General features: G+C 33.9%; 1 protein-coding gene and 1 pseudogene across 2 annotated transcripts; both read left to right on the top strand.

Moving 5' to 3' along the window:
- On the top strand, window positions 5,056–13,849 carry OR6K3 (olfactory receptor family 6 subfamily K member 3). Of its 2 annotated transcripts, XM_047420296.1 has the most exons (3): window positions 5,056–5,111; window positions 5,376–5,480; window positions 12,044–13,105. In XM_047420296.1, exon 3 carries the CDS (start codon window positions 12,061–12,063, stop codon window positions 13,006–13,008), a length of 948 nt encoding a protein of 315 aa, XP_047276252.1. In that variant the 5' UTR covers window positions 5,056–5,111; window positions 5,376–5,480; window positions 12,044–12,060; the 3' UTR covers window positions 13,009–13,105. The 2 variants fall into 2 exon arrangements, with proteins under 2 accessions (XP_047276252.1, NP_001005327.2); NM_001005327.3 differs by lacking the exons at window positions 5,056–5,111; window positions 5,376–5,480 and adding an exon at window positions 9,456–9,493 and having other exon boundaries at window positions 12,044–13,849.
- Window positions 5,109–6,063, top strand: OR6K4P (olfactory receptor family 6 subfamily K member 4 pseudogene; annotated as a pseudogene).

Raw genomic sequence — 22,131 nt, 5'->3', positions numbered from 1 at the left:
CTTTTTTTCAAATCCATTTACCACCATTTAGGTTGTTTCCAGTTTTACAAATAAAGCCACTATAAGTATTTGATTACAGGTGTTGGAGTGAACATAAGCTTTTATTCCTCTTGGGTAAATACCCAGGGGTGTTATTGCTGGATTAATAGTAAGTGTATGTTTAACTTTGTAAGAAACTGCTAAACTCTTTTCCACAGTGGTTGTAACATTTTGCATTCCCACAAACAATGTATGCAAGATCAAGTTGCTCCACATTCTGCCCAGGGTTTAATATTGTTAGCTATTTTGTTTCCTTTTTAAAAAAATTGCAGTAGTTATTTTTATCGATGAGTAATGATGCTGTATCTCATTGTGGTTTTAACTTGCATTTCTCTAATGACCAGTGATGTTGATGTTGAGCATATTTTTATGGACTAATTTAACACCTGAAAGTTTTCTTTGCTGAAATATCTGTTCAAATAGATTGCTAATTTCTTTTAAAAAGTGTTGTTTGCTTTCTTATTGTTGAGTTTTGAGGTTTGAGGTATTCTATACGGTTTTTGTCAGATTTTTTTTTGCAAATAAATTATCCTGTCAGTAACTCAAAATAAAAACATGAACAAAAACAAAAATAAATGACTGAGATTTTGATTTAAGTTGCAATGAATGACTAGCTTTGCGGAATTCGTATCTTCACAATTTAAAGTCTTCCTATCCATAAACACAGCACCTTTTCACTTATTTAAGTCTTCTTTGATTTCTTATATCAGTGTTTTACAGGGTACAGCATATTGATTCTGCAATATATTTTGAGAGATTTAAAACTACTTTATACTTTTATGTTATTTTGAATCATATTTAAAATTTTATGTCCCAATTGTTCATTCTTAGCATATATAATATATACAGTAATTGTTTTTTTATGTATTGGCCTTTTATCCACTAACCTTGTTTTTCTACCTCAAGTCATCTCTGCTCTAATCCATTATACATAATGCAACCAGACTCACTTTTCAAAATCTAAAGTTTTGTCAAATAAATTTAATTCTCTGTTTAAGATTATTCAGTGGTTTCCTTATTTCTGGCAGGGTAAAGTCTCATTCTGTCAAGACAAAACTTACTACTTCCTTCAAGATAAGCTTTTTGCTGATTTCTCCAGCTTTATCTACGGCATCATCATCATATTCTCTCTGACACCCTCTCTCTCTCTCTCTCTCTCTCTCTCCCTGTTCTGCCCAGAGGCAATAAGTTTAATTTCTGGAATGCATCAGCCTATTTTTGTGGCTTTAAAAAATATTTATACTTGTTATTCTTTCTGAAACACACCTCTTCGTAGCTGCAAACTTTTTGCCAGTCTCCCTTCTACCTATACTTCAGATAACGTGCCAGTCACTGTTCTAAGCATTCTGCCTATATAAACTGATGTAATTCTACAGCAGCTATGCAAATGTACTGTTTTTATTGTCTCCATTTTACAGATGAGGAAACTGAGAGTATAGTTTATACAATTACCCTAAAATCACAAGTGTAATAAGAAGTGTTAGAGCCATGATTCAGACCCATGCAGCCTATAACCAAATTCCATGTTCTTAAATACTAACTTATTTTAGTCCAGTTTCTACTCTGGAGTGCCTCTAAATTATGTTCTCAATAAATTGTTCCTGTTTAAATGAATTAACCCACTCTCATGTGCCTTCCTCTCTCATATTTCACTGAAAATTATTTGGATATAGTTAGCAACAATTCCCAAATCACTTCATCTAAAAATATTCTTATATTTCAACCTCTGCATTACTTGAATAATCTTCAGGATTTGAAACTGTCATGTACTACTTTCTCCCTTAAATTTTCTACCTTTCTGGTGCACCTTTGCCAGTTAGCTTTTCATGATCCTCTTCCCCATTTCCTCTTAGACATTGGTGTTTTCCCAGGCCACAATTTTCTGTCACTTTACTTTCTACTTTATTTATATACTTTCCCTGGATACCTTTTCCATATTGAGTTGTCACATATAACTTATATGTGGGTAACTTCTAAATACATATGACTGATGCAGACGTCATTCTGAACTTTACACCTGTCTACTTGATGACCTACTGGATATCTTCCTTTTAAGATCCCATTGGTACTCCAAAGTTCAGCCACTCTAAACCTATCTCTTCACTTTACTCCAAATCTCCTCCTCCTCCAAAATTCTCCACTTTTTATTAATTTTAATTCATTGTGGTAAGAGCATTTCTTTATTTTTAATGTTTTATTTGGTTATTTATTCTCGAAGCCCAGTAAACTATAAAATGACACACAATAGGAAATAATAAATGTAAATAAATAAACTAGTAATAACTTATAATTGAAAAAATTCGTTTTTATAAGTAAGCCACTCAATTGCCTGTATGGTATTTTAGCATTTAAGGCCATTATCTGTTATCTATAGGCATTCTCTCATTTTCAATAGGAAAAGTAAGCATAGTTTATTCTTAGAATCATCTTTTAAACTTAAAACTAAAATAAGATCAGGTGTATATATACATAATATATATATATATATATTCCTTTTTTTCTATAATATAATCCAATGTATAAAATAATTAAGAGGAATATACATCAAAACATCTTGTGCATGATGAATACATGTAATTCTATCAATTTAAAATAAAATAAGATAAATATATATGTATAAGATAATTACATACTAAGAGAATGTATAAAATTCATTCTGCTGTGCCTTTGAATATACTCTATTTCAAAACTTGCTTTTTAGATTTGAGATTTTTATTTTTTTACTTTGTTATGGATTTTCTCTGCTCATAAAGTAATAAAAGTAAATTATTTCCTCCTTAGTCAATGTTTAAATTAAACTGGGCTCCAAATGATATCAAGATTTGTTTATTTTTGGTTTAGCTTGCTTACATTTTTGTTTTGTCTTGTTTTGTTTCACTTTTCTGCCTATGTTTAATATCTCTTCTCTAGCTAGTACTTTCCTCAGAGGAAAGTCAAAAGAACTTTTCTTGTTGGTGTCCATTCTGCATCAACAGATTTAAGGTCTAACTCTGTGACTGTCAATACTCAAATTATTATTTATTGGCAAGCTACCTTACAATGTAGCAAAAGCCTGTTTCTATTTGGTCCTCAGATCAATTTCTTTGTTTTTCTCAGTCAATTCATCAATGATAACCAGTTTGGAGTAAGTGGAACCTGCTAATTTTCTAGCATCCAGCATCCAGATTCACAAATTCAGAATTATATCTTTAAAATAATAAGGATATGGAAAAACATGTGAATTAACTGTTGGATTGATCAACTTTCTCATAAACATTTTTAGCAACATGTTTTATATACTGCATAATATCAAAAAGCTACTAAACATGAGTGTTTTGGTAGTCTGGCACTACAAGAGAAAAGTTGAAGCTCACTCTGAAAGATTATTTACCAAAGTGAAACAGTTAAGAGAAGCAGGAAGGGATAGATAGATGATAGATGATAGAGAGAGAGAGAGAGAGAGAGAGAGAGGTAGATAGATAGATAGATACATAGATACATAGATACATAGATAGATACATAGATAGATAGATATCCATGTGCCGGATGTTCCATAAACAACAAATAAATCAATGACAATATCTGTAGAGCAGTAATATTTTTGTTTGCAACAATCTTACTTTGTGAAAATCTGACAGATGCGCATACATAAAAACAATAAAAATGTCCTAATTCTCTCTAGGCACTTGATTTTTCAGAAGCTGCCAAAGTAGTATTTGTTAAACTTCGTTAATATAAACTTTCTTGATAGAATGTGTTCAAGATGTATATTTTGTTCTGTAATGAGATATCTGACAAATACCAAAATGTACCAAATGTTTTTATTTCCTTGATCTATGTTTCAAATGCCTTGTTTTAATTTGAAACTTCAAATATTATTTCTTATTAAAATAACATGAAGTTTTAAATTCATGATTTATAAATAATTTAAAAAATAGTATTAGCTCAGGAAAAATATTTGCTCTCTTCATGGAGAAATGCTGGTGTACAGCATAAGCAAATGTTCTTGTCCTCAGACATTCATTTTTACCCCAAAGGAGATATTATCTTTCAAACTTCCTTTGTGTTCTAAATCTCTCTCCTTAACTAATTTTCGATCCATCTGTTAGGCTAGCTTCTGAATGGCCTGGACAATAAGCCCTGGGTGCAGCTGATGAGTTTCTTGCACTACTTTTAGGGATAGCATCTTTATATTTTATGCCACTTTTGAGGGACATGGTATCAAGAGACCTAAATTGTGCTGGAATACCACATTTTGGCCTTTGCCTTCTTATGGTGATGGTCTTTGTCAGGATATAAACAATCTGAATCCCGTGACTTAGATATTTATAAAAAACCTCTGCTTCTTTTCAGTATTTGTCATGGACAGACGCTTAACATGACTGACAGGATACCAAATCTTCCACTGCCGAATTTCTCACTGATCCCTTCTTTCTGTTCTGGTCAATTTCTGGTGGCTTAATTATTTTCTGCTGCTGAGAATAGAATTTCCTACCAAGGCTTTACCTTCATATTTGTGCCTGAAAACTTTACTCTCTTTTCTAGCCACACTCAGTGTCACTCTGTGGTGCGATAAAGGAGCAGAATACTAAAAACTAAAAATATTCAGGAAAATGGAGAATACAACTTTACAATAATTATATAGAGAGAAAGACAACTAAAAGTTTTGTCTAATCTGCATCTAAGAACCATTAGAAAATTTATATGGTATATGATTCAAAACAATTTGGGGAATTATTATAAAAGATTATTAACACCTTTATACATTTACTTTAGTTTATATAGTTTATAAATATGACATTCTTAATATCTTATTTTCTTATTGTTGGTATCCTTCTTTTGAATGTAAGCTTCATGAATGTAGAGATTATTTTCCTTACTGCTGAATTCAACAAACCCACAGCTGTGTTTGGTACATAGTAGGCACTAAATGAATATCTGTTTAATTCATAAATAAAGAGAAGTACATGATCCACCTAAAGCATATTTTTCATTTGACTTTTATATAAGCTAACACATCTGACTTTGTCAATTTCTTCTAGGAAATGAGCTGTGTCTTTCTATCCATAGCTGTTAAGGTTGCTGAGACCATGGTGAGTATTAACCAAACTGCTACAGTAAGTAACAGAGTTTCTCTTCTCTGGATTCCCACAGTTTGAAGATGGTAGCCTCCTCTTCTTCATTCCATTGTTTGTTATCTACATATTCATTGTCATTGGGAATCTTATTGTATTTTTTGCAGTCAGGGTGGATACCCGTCTCCACAACCCCATGTATAATTTTATCAGCATTTTCTCATTTCTGGAGATCTGGTACACAACTGCCACAATTCCCAAGATGCTCTCCATCCTCATCAGCAGGCAGAGGACCATCTCCATGGTTGGCTGCCTCTTGCAGATGTACTTCTTCCATTCACTGGGAAATTCAGAGGGGATTTTGTTGACCACCATGGCCATTGATAGGTACGTTGCCATCTGTAACCCTCTCCGCTACCCAACCATCATGACCCCCGGGCTCTGTGTTCAGCTCTCTGTGGGGTCCTGCATCTTTGGCTTTCTTGTGTTGCTCCCAGAGATTGCATGGATTTCCACACTGCCCTTCTGTGGACCCAACCAAATCCACCAGATCTTCTGTGATTTTGAACCTGTGCTGCGCTTGGCCTGTACAGACACGTCCATGATTCTGATTGAGGATGTGATCCATGCTGTGGCCATTGTATTCTCTGTCCTGATTATTGCCCTTTCTTATATCAGAATCATCACTGTAATCCTGAGGATTCCCTCTGTTGAAGGCCGCCAGAAGGCCTTTTCTACCTGTGCCGCCCATCTTAGTGTCTTTCTGATGTTCTATGGCAGTGTATCCCTCATGTACCTGCGTTTCTCTGCCACTTTCCCACCGATTTTGGACACAGCTGTTGCACTGATGTTTGCAGTTCTTGCTCCCTTTTTCAACCCTATCATCTATAGCTTTAGAAATAAGGACATGAAGATTGCAATTAAAAAGCTTTTCTGCCCTCAGAAGATGGTTAATTTATCTGTAGATTAATGCTAGCTCATAGGCACCTTTCACTGTGGATGTTACTCTAACACAATAAACCATATAATTAACATATAATTCATTCATTGTCACATGGATATTTTGTGTCTCTTTATACTGGTTCTTCCCATGTACATGTATATCCTGCTTACACATGCCAAATTAAGATAGCATGGACTACCTGTCTAGACTTATACAGGTGGGTAAAATATAGAAAGGAAATATGATGTTTAAGCCATTAAACATAATTAATATGTTTTATGAACATTAATTTATTATTTGTATATAAACATTTTAAGTAAATGCTTATTACATTACATAAGCATTAATAACAACTATGAATTACGAACCACAGTAGTTAAAAGAATCAGATCTGCAGAAGAGGTTAAGGTTTGTATTTCAGTGATGCCACATATTGCTTTGTGACTTTGAACAAGTTGATAATTAACTTGTCTGCATCTTAGTTTTATCATCTATTGGTATAAAAGTAATATATTTTAAAAGTAGGACTTCAAATGCTAATATGAATATTAAATGACTTACTCCATGCAAGTGCAGAGAATGTGCAAAACACAGAGCTTGTGCAAAATAAGTGTTATCTGTTAATATCATTTGCAACTAATTACTATCTTTTGTTATTGATGTTTTAGAGAATGCTTTAATAAAGAGTGATATATTAAAAACAAAAACTCATGCTTAGGAATACTTAGCTATGATTATTATTTATAGTATATTTGTTGTTATTATTTATCTGGAGCCAAGTTGAATTCAAACTTCATTTACTTAGACTGCTTTGGTTGAATTCATCCAATTTGGTTGAATAAAATTATTTGGTTAAAAGTAGTCTCCAGCACATTCCAAAGTGATAGATAGATAGATAGATAGATAGATAGACAGATAGGTAATAGAAATATATATCATTTGAACTACATTACTCTTGTTTTCACTTTTGCTGCCTTTAAAATGTCTATGCATTGCCACTAGAAATTAATTTTCTAAAATTCAAGTTTAGATTTGTGTATTAAGATAACAGTTTAAACACACATATTTAAATTTTCTTCCACAAAAAACTCAATAGAAATAAAAGAGTCAGGACTAGATGAACTGTTAGATGACCTAAGAACTGAAAAGTGTAAAGATATAGTAATGAACATTAAAATATCTATAAGTTTACCTAAAAACCTTCATGATAGCTATGTCAGTACTCTGAAATATTATATACCACTTTCTTTTTTCTAGAAAAGAAAATAATTTCTGTTTATATCAAAAGCACCAGTTGATTCTGTTTATTGGATAGTCCAGGAATGAACAAAAATATATATTGAAAATTTAACAGCAAAAAACAAAAATCAAAATTAAGTTAAACCAAAGCATTATATATCCTGGGGAAAAGAGTTCCCACAATTGACCTCCAAAGTTAAAACACTTCCTCAGGTATGAGTACATGAGATCCGACTGAGGGAAATACTTATCTGCCCGGTGTTGGACAAGAAAACAGAAGAGGAGAGCCTAGAAATTAACTGGATGAAATTCCACATACAACCGATGGAAAAAATAATTAAAGCTTGGAAAAACAGAAATTGAGAACGATGCTCTACTTGGGAAATCTGGATAGAGAGAATGGAGCCAAAGAATGTATGAAATTTCCCAGTCACAATGGAGTTATCCACTGAGCTGTGTTCAGAGAAGGACATGAAAAGTAAATCTTAAATTTACAAGCCAGAGAAGTGAGGAACTATCCAGGTAAACTGAGGCTACTAAAACAAAACAAAAAAGCACAACTTTTTAGCACAAAGCAATAATCTATAACTAATACTGAACTTCGTGGCAGATATTTCCATATTTGCTGTGCATATTTAGATATTTAATATTCTTATTTTTTGTATCCAAATATATTCTCTCCTTCTCTCTCACACACACAGACAAACACAGATTGCCTTCTTTAAAACAATGATTTTAGTTTTGCCATACACCGTTTGTATTAAAATCATTAACTTTGTCAAATGCATAGCCCAATAAGTAGTTGGATTACTACAGTTAAAGAGAGAGAGAGAGACTGAGAGAGACAGAGAGGTTAGGGAATTGAAAGTAAATGCTCTTTCATTACATAGACTAACTCTAAGACACAAATCATTAAAATGTTTCCTATTTAAAATTTTGATGAGATTTGTGAAGATATCAGAAAAAAAGTTGAGAAATAAAAAATACAAAATTTAATATACAATGGAGATATTGAAGAATATATTAAATACTACAGGAAATTAAATTAATGTTTTGTAAGATTGCCTGGAAGATATGTCCCAGAATTTAGAGAAGCCACATGAAGAGCCAAATATTACATGCAAAGAGAAAAAGTTATATATGGAGAATGTATTAATAGATATTACAGAGCAAAATATGATTATGAAAATTCTAGAAAAAAAACAAAACAGAGGAAAATAATAAGTAAAATTAAAGGAAAATATTTCTGAGCTTGAGAATACTTGAGTCATGGGATCAAAACAGACTGTTTTATATTATACAAAATCATTGGAAATACAATGTGGCCTGTTGACATTTTTGAATTAAAAAAAACCTACAAGTTAGACAACCAAAATAGGCTCCCAAATCGTAAGAAGAAAAGTTAGACAAAACTCAGAAAGCACGTCTTCCTATTTGAGAACTTGATACATATTTCCAGAAGAAGATGACATGATAAAAGTAATTAACTTTGAAAAAAATGAGAACTTTGCAATTTCAACAGATCAGTGGATGAAGCACAGATATAAATAATACTCTTGTAGAAAAGATGAGATATTGATCTTCAATAAAGAAGTCAGCAGAACCAGTGTGAGTTGTTCAAGGTAGGAAAGACCCATACACACTCACGACATGAGAAAAACAAAAAAAGACATGGTTTCCTCACTTTCTTCAGTATTGGCACTAAATCCCCAGTGCCATGTTTATTATGAAATGGCCTTATTTTCTGTAAAATAGCTTTTCAAGATGATCTTCTGGTGTCAGTATATTCCTTCCAGGCTTTCCAAATCTGTGTGTTCATATAAGAAGGCCAGGATCATGTCAAAACTACCCTTTGCATAGTACACTGGTACACTCAAGAACAGCTGAGACAATCATGAAAGTGCTAGAGAAGGAAGCTTACAAATTTGGGAAGATGAGTACAATCAGGAAAAATATATATATTTATTGACAACTTCGATCTGAAAATCTAACAAAAGGAGAGTAAGAGGGGAAACTTTCTGTTAATTAACCCCATGAGAGAAGGTGATTCACTTCAGTGCAGTGGAGGGGAAGAATCCTCCACAGAGCCCAGTTCCCTTTCCTGTTATTCCCTGGATGCCCTATGGAGAGACTATAAATCCCTTTTTGAAAAGGCTGAAGTAATATTAAGGATGCAGTGACCCAGGCAGACTGAGGAGTCCCTGTGTTTTTGGCAAAGGTGAGTGTAGATGACTAAGTCATAAAGAGACCGAATTCATTCACCATGCATAATCATCATCATCATCATCATCTCATAACCTGAAGACCTGATTATTAAAGAATTTAGAACTTTGAATAAGGGTGGAAGGCAAAGGTATTTACAGGAGGAAGCTCTGTTCAGTGTGGTTCTGGGCATGGGTATATATGAAACAGCATGCCACATTTATAATGCCATTTTCTGAGAGATCATCTAGTCAAGACTTGATTGAGGCTCTCATTAGAACTGAATTGTCATAGTTCCCTTTTCAAACAGTCCCCAATTTTCTTTGTTCACTTACTCATGGCTGTCTTGTGCACTTAGTTATAATTGTACCAAGTGGCTGAGTTCCAAGTTAATTTATTTGATACCTACCGTCTCTACATATTAACCCTGTTGTAGTCACTATGAGGGATAAAAGACATTCACTGTCCTGAAGGAGAAACCTATAGTCTAGAGAAGGTAAAACAAGTAAGTTGATGATGGATCCTGACAAACGCTTCAATAAAGCATAATGGCATTCAACACTTCCAAGTGTTTCCTATATTCCTAACACTAAGGTTTTAAAATACATTTACATGTATTGGTAGAGGCAGTCAACTGTATGTAGGTTAGAATGTGTCTCTAGAGATACAGTGCATAGATTTAAATTCTGACTTTGCCCTGCATTAGCCGAGAATTTCTGGACAAAGAACTTAACCTGTCTGTGCCTAAGTTTTCTCCTCTGTAAAATGGGGATAATCATTTCACCTCATTAGAGCATTAAGAGCATGAGGTGAAAAATATATACAATGTGCTTGGAATAGTGCCAGCATTAGTGACGTAATAATACCGTATACTATACTGTACAATTCTATTGTTATTATAAAATGTTTAGTTATTCTCAGGACTTCATTAACCAGTATTAATATTTTCTCAGTTTTACAAATGAGATATTAAAGGCATAGAGAAGCTAAGTAACTTCATGTTAAGTCACAGAGCTGGTAAGCCATAAAGAGAATTTAAATGCTAGCAATTTTTTTTCTGGCATCTAGACTTTTAACCAGCAGTATATATTGCTTTTGTGTGAGGAGAGGGGGCAGAGGAGGGAGAGATATGTTACTTTAAAGTCAGAGGAAGTAGCACAAACAGGAGAGAACTGTGATTTTAGAAAGCAACATGAACAATGGGATTGCAGGGGAGAGAGGAGTCGGAGAATGTTAGCAGGTGAAGCTACAGAGAGTTAAGAGTCAGATAGTTGGTGTGAAGCTTATGAAAGAGAGATTGGTTAGAGAAAAACATTTAGAAGTATTAATAGTTTAAATCCTGTAAGCGGATGAGATCACTAAGGGAGTGTATAAAACTATAAGAGGTTGAAGTGGATGATAGGAACCTGGGGAAAATAGACTCTTGGGAAAGAATTTAAGAAAGACAACACAAGCTAATATAAGAGAGAAGAGGCAGAATAAGAAAGAAAATATAAATAAAATAAATAAAACAGAAGCAAAAGTCAAAGCTAGAACTGCCTTTAAAGCTATCTGGGCGTCACGTCCCTTGAGAATGGAATCGTGGAAACAGAGGAACAAAGTCTCAAGCAGGAGTAATGAAAAGTGTCGAGTGCCAGAGATGACTGGATAGTTTCCATTAGTAATTAGCAGGGCATTGATGAACGTGATCAGTATAGTATCAGCATAATGCTCGGGAGGAAGCACACAGCAGTGTTAAAGGAGAACAAGAAATGCAGAGAGGTAGATTGTATCACTCTTTCCAGAAGTTGCCTATTAAACACTGTCCAAATCTTTCTGCAAGTATTTACTAAATCCTACAGCATCCTTGTTAGATAGGTACTATTTTTAATCCCATTTTGCAAATGATTACCTGATACTCTGAGGTATTAAGTAATTTTCCAAAAGACATATAGGTAACAATAGACAGGATTTCAATGTCAACTTCAGGTTTACATTGTAACACGTTAGAACAGAGATTTTCAAAGAGCATGTGCACAATGGCCCAGTCGGGTAGGGAAAGAGCATAATATAACTTCTGTTATGTTTATTCGTATTCATACTTTTTAATTTTAAAATTTATTATATGAGATACAGATATATAATTTTGTGTTATTATGCCTTAATATAGTAAATGTGTATAACTTATAAATGCAAATACCTATATTAGAGATTAAGCTAAAATAAAAATAATTTTAACTAGTTTTTTTATTATTAAAACATTTGGAGACCCCTATTTCTGCAGTTGTGCCAATAAATAAGATGTACAGCTAAGCAACTTTGAGGAATAAGAAGAACTACCTTGAAGGTTTCATTTTTTTTTCTGACTTTAAACTAGTGTACATATTGTCCAATGTTTGATACAAAAAAAAATGTTTGATATGAAAAAAATCAAACATTGGACAATATGTACATGAGTTTAAAGTCAGGAAAAAAAATGAAACCTTCAAGGTAGTTCTTCTTACTTCTCAAAGATGTTTAGCTGTACATCTTATTTATTTTTTTCTCTACCCTCTCATGTGCTGGACTATGCCCTCTCCATTTACAGGTAGCTCTACTAGAAATATGGAGAGCGGAAACCAATCAACAGTGACTGAATTTATCTTCACTGGATTCCCTCAGCTTCAGGATGGTAGTCTCCTGTACTTCTTTCCTTTACTTTTCATCTATACTTTTATTATCATTGATAACTTATTAATCTTCTCTGCTGTAAGGCTGGACACCCATCTCCACAACCCCATGTATAATTTTATCAGTATATTTTCCTTTCTGGAGATCTGGTACACCACAGCCACCATTCCCAAGATGCTCTCCAACCTCATCAGTGAAAAGAAGGCCATCTCAATGACTGGCTGCATCTTGCAGATGTATTTCTTCCACTCACTTGAAAACTCAGAGGGGATCTTGCTGACCACCATGGCCATTGACAGATACGTTGCCATCTGCAACCCTCTTCGCTATCAAATGATCATGACCCCCCGGCTCTGTGCTCAACTCTCTGCAGGTTCCTGCCTCTTCGGTTTCCTTATCCTGCTTCCCGAGATTGTGATGATTTCCACACTGCCTTTCTGTGGGCCCAACCAAATCCATCAGATCTTCTGTGACTTGGTCCCTGTGCTAAGCCTGGCCTGTACAGACACGTCCATGATTCTGATTGAGGATGTGATTCATGCTGTGACCATCATCATTACCTTCCTAATCATTGCCCTGTCCTATGTAAGAATTGTCACTGTGATATTGAGGATTCCCTCTTCTGAAGGGAGGCAAAAGGCTTTTTCTACCTGTGCAGGCCACCTCATGGTCTTCCCGATATTCTTTGGCAGTGTATCACTCATGTACTTGCGTTTCAGCGACACTTATCCACCAGTTTTGGACACAGCCATTGCACTGATGTTTACTGTACTTGCTCCATTCTTCAATCCCATCATTTATAGCCTGAGAAACAAGGACATGAACAATGCGATTAAAAAACTGTTCTGTCTTCAAAAAGTGTTGAACAAGCCTGGAGGTTAATACAGAGCCACAGGTTCCCTTCCGTTGCTTTTGTTTTGTTTTGTTTTTTGAGATGGAGTTTCACTCTTGTTGCCTGGGCTGGAGTGCAATGGCATGATCTTGGCTCACTGCAACCTCCACCTCCTGGTTTTGAACAATTCTCCTGCCTCAGCCTCCCTAGTAGCCGCGATTACAGGCATGCACCACCACACCCAGCTAATTTTTGTATTTTTAGTGGAGATGGGGTTTCACTGTGTTGGTCAGGCTGGTCTTGAACTCCTGACCTTAGGTGATCCAAACTCCTCTGCCTCCCAAAATGCTGGGATTACAGCTGTGAGCCACCGCATCTGGCCCTTTCCATTGCTTTAATGTTTGTCTAACATATTAGAACATGAGATTACTCTATACCTAGTGCTTTGTCACACTGAAATTTCTGTCATCCTAATTATTTTCCCTATACCTAGAAAAATATTTATACTCTCTGTGTCATCGTTATAAAAGTTGCTGTGCATATCATGAGGAACCTTATTATGTGGCTGAATAACTGTAGTTTCTTTCTTCTGAAATGCTGTGGTTAAAGAAAATTTGTTTGCCACTTTAGAGGGTTAGAACTACAGAGCTTGAGCTTCAGAAGCTGACAATGTGCTCTGTGGTAGTATGTGTCTATTTAGGTAACACATCTTAGAAAAGTTTTTTTGTTTAATTATGAGTCATGGATTACCTCATTGGGGTTTTCCAGAAATAGAGATCTAAGAAAAAGCCCAAACAACATTTAATTAAGTTATATCTTTATTTTTAGTTATGTAGTTACCTATTCATTAGAATAATTACATGTTTAGTAAGATTAGATTATTAGTACTGCCACACATGTTTAAAAGAAAACTACAAGATAAGATACTATTTACAGTAATATACTTTGGTTTCCACAAATATCAATTTTAGTTATTGTTTGCCTTTTCCAAGGTTAAACATCTTCACTTTCTTTATTTACAGTAAAAAATATTTGGTGTATTCACTAAATGGTAGTGTCAAAAACACAGATGATTCATTTAGCTTTTTGACTAATAAATTTAAAAACTTTCCTCTTCTTTCCATATTTACTAACATTGCCTTAATTTCATTTTCTATAATTATTTATGCACAATTATTATAATTATCTTTAAAAAATACAGTAAAATTTTGAAATGAAGATAGTGATTTTATCTCATGTTTTAATTTTCTTCTTTAACGAATCCAATAAAATGACCAAACCCTAGATCATATAAACTTCTTAAAGGCTTTAAACCTAGAAAAGATAATAATGATTCTCATTTTTTATTGAGTGGTCCAGCAGTGGTCATATCAACATGTGAACACAGAGAAAACATAAAACTACCCTTTCCAACATGTATCACATTACTTCCCCTAAAAAAAACCCCTAAAAACCTATATAAATCCTGACAAACAGAAAAGAGTGACTTCAATAGACAAAATCCAAATGGTTTCCTGAAGACATAGTGCAGATAAAATAAAATTCAAAGGAATACAATAGAGGCAAGGGAAGGGCCTATTTAGTAGAAAATTTGAAGTAATCTTTTCAGTAGGTGTTGGAAATTCCAAACTGAGAACAATTGAAAGGTAGGGATGGGGAGGTGAAATTTATGAATATCTGAAATATTTCTAGCATGTTAGGTGAGAAAGTTGCTTACCTAAATATTTGTTCCCTGGTCTTCACCTGGTGGATCACATGCTATGTAAAGCTGGGCTACCCTAACTTCAATAGTTCTGGTTTAGGTTCCCATAGCCAACAGAGAAAAAAATGCACATTGGTGATTCTTCATCATATACTTTGACTATATACATTTTTCTAAATGAATTAGAGCTCTAATCTAACAAGGAAACCATTAAAATTAAAATACTGCTGTTAAAAGCAGCTAAGAAAGGGGAGATGGTCTTTCAATCCCATATGACATTTTAACCTGTTTCCTTCCCAATCATTTTAAACATGGTTCATACTAATTATAAATAAAGAAAACAAAAACTTACACCAAAAGACTTGTACTTGACTAAAGGTTGCATTTCATGGCTTAATGGTGGCCTCCTCAGGAAACATATTATTTTCTCATGGGAATTTGAACTTGCTGTATTATCATTCCCAGGTTTCCAGCAACGTGAGTTGAAGAAGAGGATGGACCAGGGGTGCTGGAGAATCCATAGAGAGACCATAGAGGGCAACTTTTACCCCAGTGGACACCTTTAGGAACTGTCCTCACAAGTACCTGCATGCATAGTAGCCAAACAATTTAGCCCAGAGAGAGAGAGAGAGAGAGAGAGAAAGGGGGAGGGAGAGAGGAAGAAGAAACTTGTTTCTTCCCCTTCTGTGACTAAAAGATTTACAGGAGGTATTCACAATGTCTTATATAATTCAACCAGAATAGTTCTTCTATAAGAATTAGCAAACAGAAAATTAGCCTAATTAAAAATATAGTTTTGGAGGTGATATTGGTATATATCTGAATAAAAGCCATCAACATTTATAGTGACCTTAGGGATGTACTCATTAGTTTAGTTCTTTAAACAGAACCCCAAAAGAGGTAGGGTGTAGCAATTTGTGCTTTCTCCTCTCAAAAGCATATTTATGAGCCAGAGAGGTGTTTGCTTACTTCATGCTCTAACCTCTCAACATATGATTAGAAGATAAACTCAAGGGTAACTTGCTCCTGAAAATCCCAATAATCTATAAAAAGGTAAATCCGTTATATCTGCATTCTTTAAAAGATTGTAAATCAAACCAAAAGGAGAAAACCAAGGAGAATTCATGTGCACAACATACTATATTTCTAACCAGCAAACATTAGTTTGAAAAATGTTAAAACATGATACATTCTATATTGCATAAAACTCTTGAGACATTTTCATCAGGAGATTAAGATCTACAACTCTTTTTCGTGATCAGTTGAAAACATGATTTTGGAAAGAAGTGACCAATCAGGTTTTAATGTCTATATATTCTTTTTGCTTGTTTTGAGGGTATTTATATCCCCTAAACACCTTCCCAAATGCTTTGTACATATATGTGTGTGTTTGTGTGTGTATTTAGCATTTGTCATTTGGAGATTTGTGTGTGTGTGTGTGTGTGTGTGTGTGTGTGTGTATGAAAACTACATGGAAATGGAAAAGTGCATTTTCAGGTACATGATGCACCTTTGGACACAGGCTAATGTAATTTTTAAAATGAAAATGTTCTGTTAATAATACCAAATCTTTAGCCATTAATCACTCTAAGCAAGAGTCACAAAAATAATTTTAAATATATGATGAAATCATAGAGAACTTTTACTATTAATACATGAAATAAATTAGTTTGTGATGGCAAAGTTAGTGATAATAAAAGACATTACAGAATATAAAAATGCAATGGAAGAAGAAGAAAATGGAATGCTCCAGAAAACTAAACTAGAGAGTTAGAATTTTGACTTCAGAAAGTATCATAAAGCTCAAAAAATAATAAATAAAGTGCCCTATCAAGATTGATGACAAAAAAACTAAATCCTAGAAATGCAATATTAATGAAATACGTATTCCAGAAAGAGAAGGTATAGCAGACTGAGAATAAAATGAAAGTGCTACAACAGTTAGCAATAAAAAAATTACCTTAAAACAAAATCAGACAACTATTTATGCTTCTAATCAAAATAAAATAGCTTGTGGTAGACCCAACTTTTCACTGAAAATAATGAGGAAGCTGAATAAAATAAGATTAAAAACTGCTTGGAGGTATTACAGATGGAAACACTATGGGCACTTAATCCCCATAGACACTGGGGATTATAATTCAAGATAAGATTTTGGGTGGGGACACAACCAAACGATGTCATGCTTGCCTTAGGTAGCTCCTTCCCTTTCAACACTAAACCCATATGAAGCCATGCCCCGAGAGCCACGGGTTTACAGAATGAGAACATGTAAAGGTCACCTGAACCCAACCTGCCTAAAGCCTGGTGCCTGGGGTCCAGAATCTGAAGTGTAGCCTATCTTATCCTGTTGCCTCTCACTTACAGATTTACTAGCACAAAGCTAATTAATTGTTGTTTTAGTACCCATGTGTAAAACATTTGATAAGTCACTATACTTGGTTGTGTGTGTACTTCATTTGACAATGTACCATTCTGAGATTGCATAAATTTAATATATAGTACTTACTATCTGAATCATAAGATAATCTGTTGAGTTGTATACACTTTTGAATTGTATTGTTAATTTTTAAAACAATTCTATCATTTTCAGAAAGTTTATCTGTGTCAAATGTGTTGTTATTTAACCACACTCTGCTCATTTATATGCTAAAGACTTTTTACCCGTTAAACAGATTTTAGCTTATTTATAAATAGAGCAGGTGCTGAAGACTTGAGACTGAGTGCTGGGTTGTGAAGAGATACAAAGGAGTCAATCTTTGCAAGTTGCATTTTCCTTTTTGTAACATTTTCTTCATCATTTTTGTGGCTCATAATCACCTTTACTTGATCTGTGCTTGAAAATAAAGTTACGGCATTTAAAAAGTCTTTTAAAATAAAAGCTAAATCCAAAAGCTCTTCATACTGTATAGAAATAAGAAATATGTACAAGAGATGAAAGAATTATAGAACATTTTACTTTATCCTTATTGCTTACCATCCGTATGTAAGCAAATGTTTTGGGTTACTCCAAATAGCACAAAATTCAGATGTATTCTACATGATATTCTATAACTAGAAACTGCTGTGTTAGGTAAGTTGGCCAGTGTATCTTTGTCTGAAATCATAATCCTACCTCTTAGTTCACATTTATTTAGTTTGTTTTGGATGGAAAATTTATTGTACTTTTATGAAAAAAATATGACCTCTTTAAAGAAGTGAGAAAATAGAGAAAACAGAAGAAATTTGGCAAATGATATAGACAAACAATTTACAGGCACATAAACTTGAAAGTCTAGTAATTACATGAAGAGATGCTTAAAAATCTTTATTAAGGCCAAGTGTTAGAGCAGATGAAGAGACAAAGAAATACATGCACAACTGATAAGAATGTAAACTGGTGTGGCCATTTTGGAGAAAAATCTGGTAGAAATGAAGTTCAAGTGTATCCTCTGTTTTAATAATCCTGCTTCTAGGAATATTTGTCAAAGACATTTTTACACATGTTTATAAGTTGACATACCTGAAGATGTTCTCCAGAATGTAGAGTATTTGGAGGCAATCTGGAGCTTATCACGGAGAAAACAGGTACTTAACATACGCCAAATGAATAGTTCAGAGAAGCATGCAGGTGTTAAATATTATGAGCTATTGAACTCAAAGAAACAAAAATAATTCCTGTAAATAATACTAAAAGGTAAAAATAAGCAATACAATGAAACCAACACCATTTACATAAATAAAAAGTACATGGGTATGAAACAAAAGCACATGTTTTATAAGAATACATAGAGAAAATATTTGTCAAGTTAATTTAAATAGTGTATAAAAATGAGGATAAGTAGAATTAAAGGGAAATACATAAAAATATACAGAATGGAGTGCTATTTAGCCATAAAAAAGAATGAGATTCTGTCATTTGAAACAACATGGATGTAATTGGGGGTCATTATATTCAGTGAAATAAGCCAGGCACAGAAAGAAAAACTTTGCATGTTCTCACTCTTTTGTGGGAGCTAAAAATAAAAACAATTGAATTCATGGAGATGGTAGAATAATGGTTACTAGAGACGGGGAAGGGAAGTGGAGAGGTTGGAGGGGGAGTGGGGATGGTTAATTGGCATAAAAAATGGAAAGAATAAACAAGATCTAGCACGTGATAGCACACAAAAAATAAATTTCAGTATAAACTTAGATGTAAAAGTGTATTTTTCAAAAAAACACATGAAATTAGTGTTTTGATATTTGCTTTCTGAGTTGACAATATGTTTATGTCTTTCCAATATTTGTTTATGACTCTATTTTTATAATCACAGCATACAGATCTATTATTTCCCTATAAAACCGCTGCAGCATAATATTCTGTGTTATGTCTTGCATGCACCTTATGTTATTTATTTTATTCCTTATCGATGGAAATTTAGATTGTTTTCAAACACTTCTAATTTTAAATGGGGCTGCAGTGAAACTTGATATACAAATTTGAATACTGCAATATTATTGTGAAATCAATTCTTAGAAGTATAACTACAGTATCCAATATTATTCAAGATTAAAAATTGAGCAAATAATGACAAATCACCATTCCAAATATTTTAAAACACTATATCTATCCAGTAGCATTCATTGGAAGTTCCTATTTCAACACGTTATCCCACATAGTGTATACCGCTTCTTGTATTCATTGTCAATCTAATTAGGCAAAAAATACATGTATTCATATATTTAAAAATTACCAGAGAATAATAAACTGACATATATCTAACAGTCAATCGTAGTTTGTTGTTGTTGTTAACTACTTTATTATTTGTTGCCAATTATTTTCCATTGAGCTCTTTATTTTATGAATTTCAATTCATTCAAAAACAACCACATATTTTATTCTTTTATAATTATTCATAATTTAAAAATGAATATTTATACACATAATTTAGTAAAATATTGAACTTTTTAAATAAATCTAAAATGGCTGAAATTATATACATTTCCTATACATGCTTTTATAAACAACTTGAAGGCTACCACTATCTGATTTTGTAATCTATAACAATAACAGAATTCAATGTAATCATATATTTTCAACTAAATGTGTTACTATATTAAAAACTAATGTTTCCTTATAAAGTCTCATAAAACAAATTTAATACTTAAAATTGTACAGATCTTTAAATTCCAAATCTAAAAACTGGCTCAACTGTCTATTCCAAAAACCATATTCAAACCAATTACTCTTTGTCCACCTTTGTAAATGAGTTCTTCCCATTGTGTTACAGGCAGAAATCTACTAGGGTTTTCGGGATAGCTTTTGCTGTTTGCCTCCCAATCACACAACATTTTGCCTTGAATGTGGAAGTGATGCCTGAAACTTAGAGATTAACTTTGTAACCATAAGGAAAAGTCCAGGAGAATAGTTTTTTAAATCAGGAATTGAATAAGCTAAGAGCATGCCTAACTGATATAAGTGTAAACTATAGTTTAATTACAGAATTACTAAACCATTGTATGTTGAAAAACAATGTTAGCATCCAGTTGAAGTTGTCAACGTGAAACAAGTTTAGAAAAATAAATTTCTAGCTGTCTATTCTCATATGAAATAATACTCAAGGGACAAAAAAAATGCCATTTATTTCCCTAACATGTTCATTTGAGTTACTAATAGTTATTTTTAATAAGGAAACTGGAACTTCTTGAAAAAGAGCTTACTCCATATCATGGGGCAGGATAAATTTAAGAAGAGAATGTACTGTCTTGAGGGCTCAAAGGATGATTACATTAAAAAAATTCTGGAGCATTTAGGTTGGTTCCAAGTCTTTTTTTTTTAAATTAATTTATTTATTATTATTATACTTTAAGTTTTAGGGTACATGTGCACAATGTGCAGGTTAGTTACATATGTATACATGTGCCATGCTGGTGCACTGCACCCACTAACTCGTCATCTAGCATTAGGTATATCTCCCAATGCTATCCCTCCCCTCTCCCCCCACCCCACAACAGTCCCCAGAGTGTGATGTTCCCCTTCCTGTGTCCATGTGTTCTCATTGTTCAATTCCCACCTATGAGTGAGAATATGTGGTGTTTGGTTTTTTGTCCTTGCAATAGTTTGTTGAGAATGATGATTTCCATTTTCAACCATGTCCCTACAAAGGACGTGAACTCATCATTTTTTATGGCTACATAGTATTCCATGGTGTATATGTGCCACATTTTCTTAATCCAGTCTATCATTGTTGGACATTTGGGTTGGTTCCAAGTCTTTGCTATTGTGAATAATGCCGCAATAAACATACGGGTGCATGTGTCTTTATAGCAGCATGATTTATAGTCCTTTGGGTATATACCCAGTAATGGGATGGCTGGGTCAAATGGTATTTCTAGCTCTAGATCCCTGAGGAATCGCCACACTGACTTCCACAATGGTTGAACTAGTTTACAGTCCCACCAACAGTGTAAAAGTGTTCCTATTTCTCCACATCCTCTCCAGCACCTGTTGTTTCCTGACTTTTTAATGACTGCTATTCTAACTGGTGTGAGATGGTATCTCATTATGGTTTTGATTTGCATTTCTCTGATGGCCAGTGATGTGAGCATTTTTTCATGTGTTTTTTGGCTGCATAAATGTCTTCTTTTGAGAAGTGTCTGTTCATGTCCTTCAACAAAGCTGAGAAAAACAAGCAATGGGGAAAGGATTCCCTATTTAATAAATGGAGCTGGGAAAACTGGCTAGCCATATGTAGAAAGCTGAAACTGGATCCCTTCCTTACACCTTATACAAAAATCAATTCAAGATGGATTAAAGACTTAAACCTTAGACCTAAAACCATAAAAACCCTAGAAGAAAACCTAGGCATTACCATTCAGGACATAGGCATGGGCAAGGACTTCATGTCTAAAACACCGAAAGCAATGGCAACAAAAGCCAAAATTGACAAATGGGGTCTAATTAAACTAAAGAGCTTCTGCACAGCAAAAGAAACTACCATCAGAGTGAACAGGCAACCTACAAAATGGGAGAAAATTTTCGCAACCTACTCATCTGACAAAGGGCTAATATCCACAATCTACAATGAACTCAAACAAATTTACAAGAAAAAAACAAACAACCCCATCAAAAAGTGGGCAAAGGTTCCAAGTCTTTGCTATTGTGAATAGTGCTGCTATAAACAGGGACATGGATGAAACTGGAAACCATCATTCTCAGCAACTATCACAAGGACAAAAAACCAAACACCGCATGTTCTCACTCATAGGTGGGAATTGAACAATGAGAACACATGGACACAGGAAGGGGAACATCACACACTGGGGACTGTTGTGGGGTGGGGGGCGGGGGGGGATAGCATTAGGAGATATACCTAATGCTAAATGACGAGTTAATGGGTGCAGCACAACAACATGGCACATGTATACATATGTAACAAACCTGCACATTGTGCATATGTACCCTAAAACTTAAAGTATAATAATAATAAAATTAAAAAAAAAATTCTGG

The sequence above is a fragment of the Homo sapiens genome, chromosome 1 (genome assembly GCF_000001405.40).
Source record: "Homo sapiens chromosome 1, GRCh38.p14 Primary Assembly".
NCBI classification, from domain to species: Eukaryota; Metazoa; Chordata; class Mammalia; order Primates; family Hominidae; genus Homo; species Homo sapiens.
The sequence above is the reverse complement of the archived record's forward strand: the minus strand, read 5'-3'. Positions and strand labels throughout refer to the sequence as shown.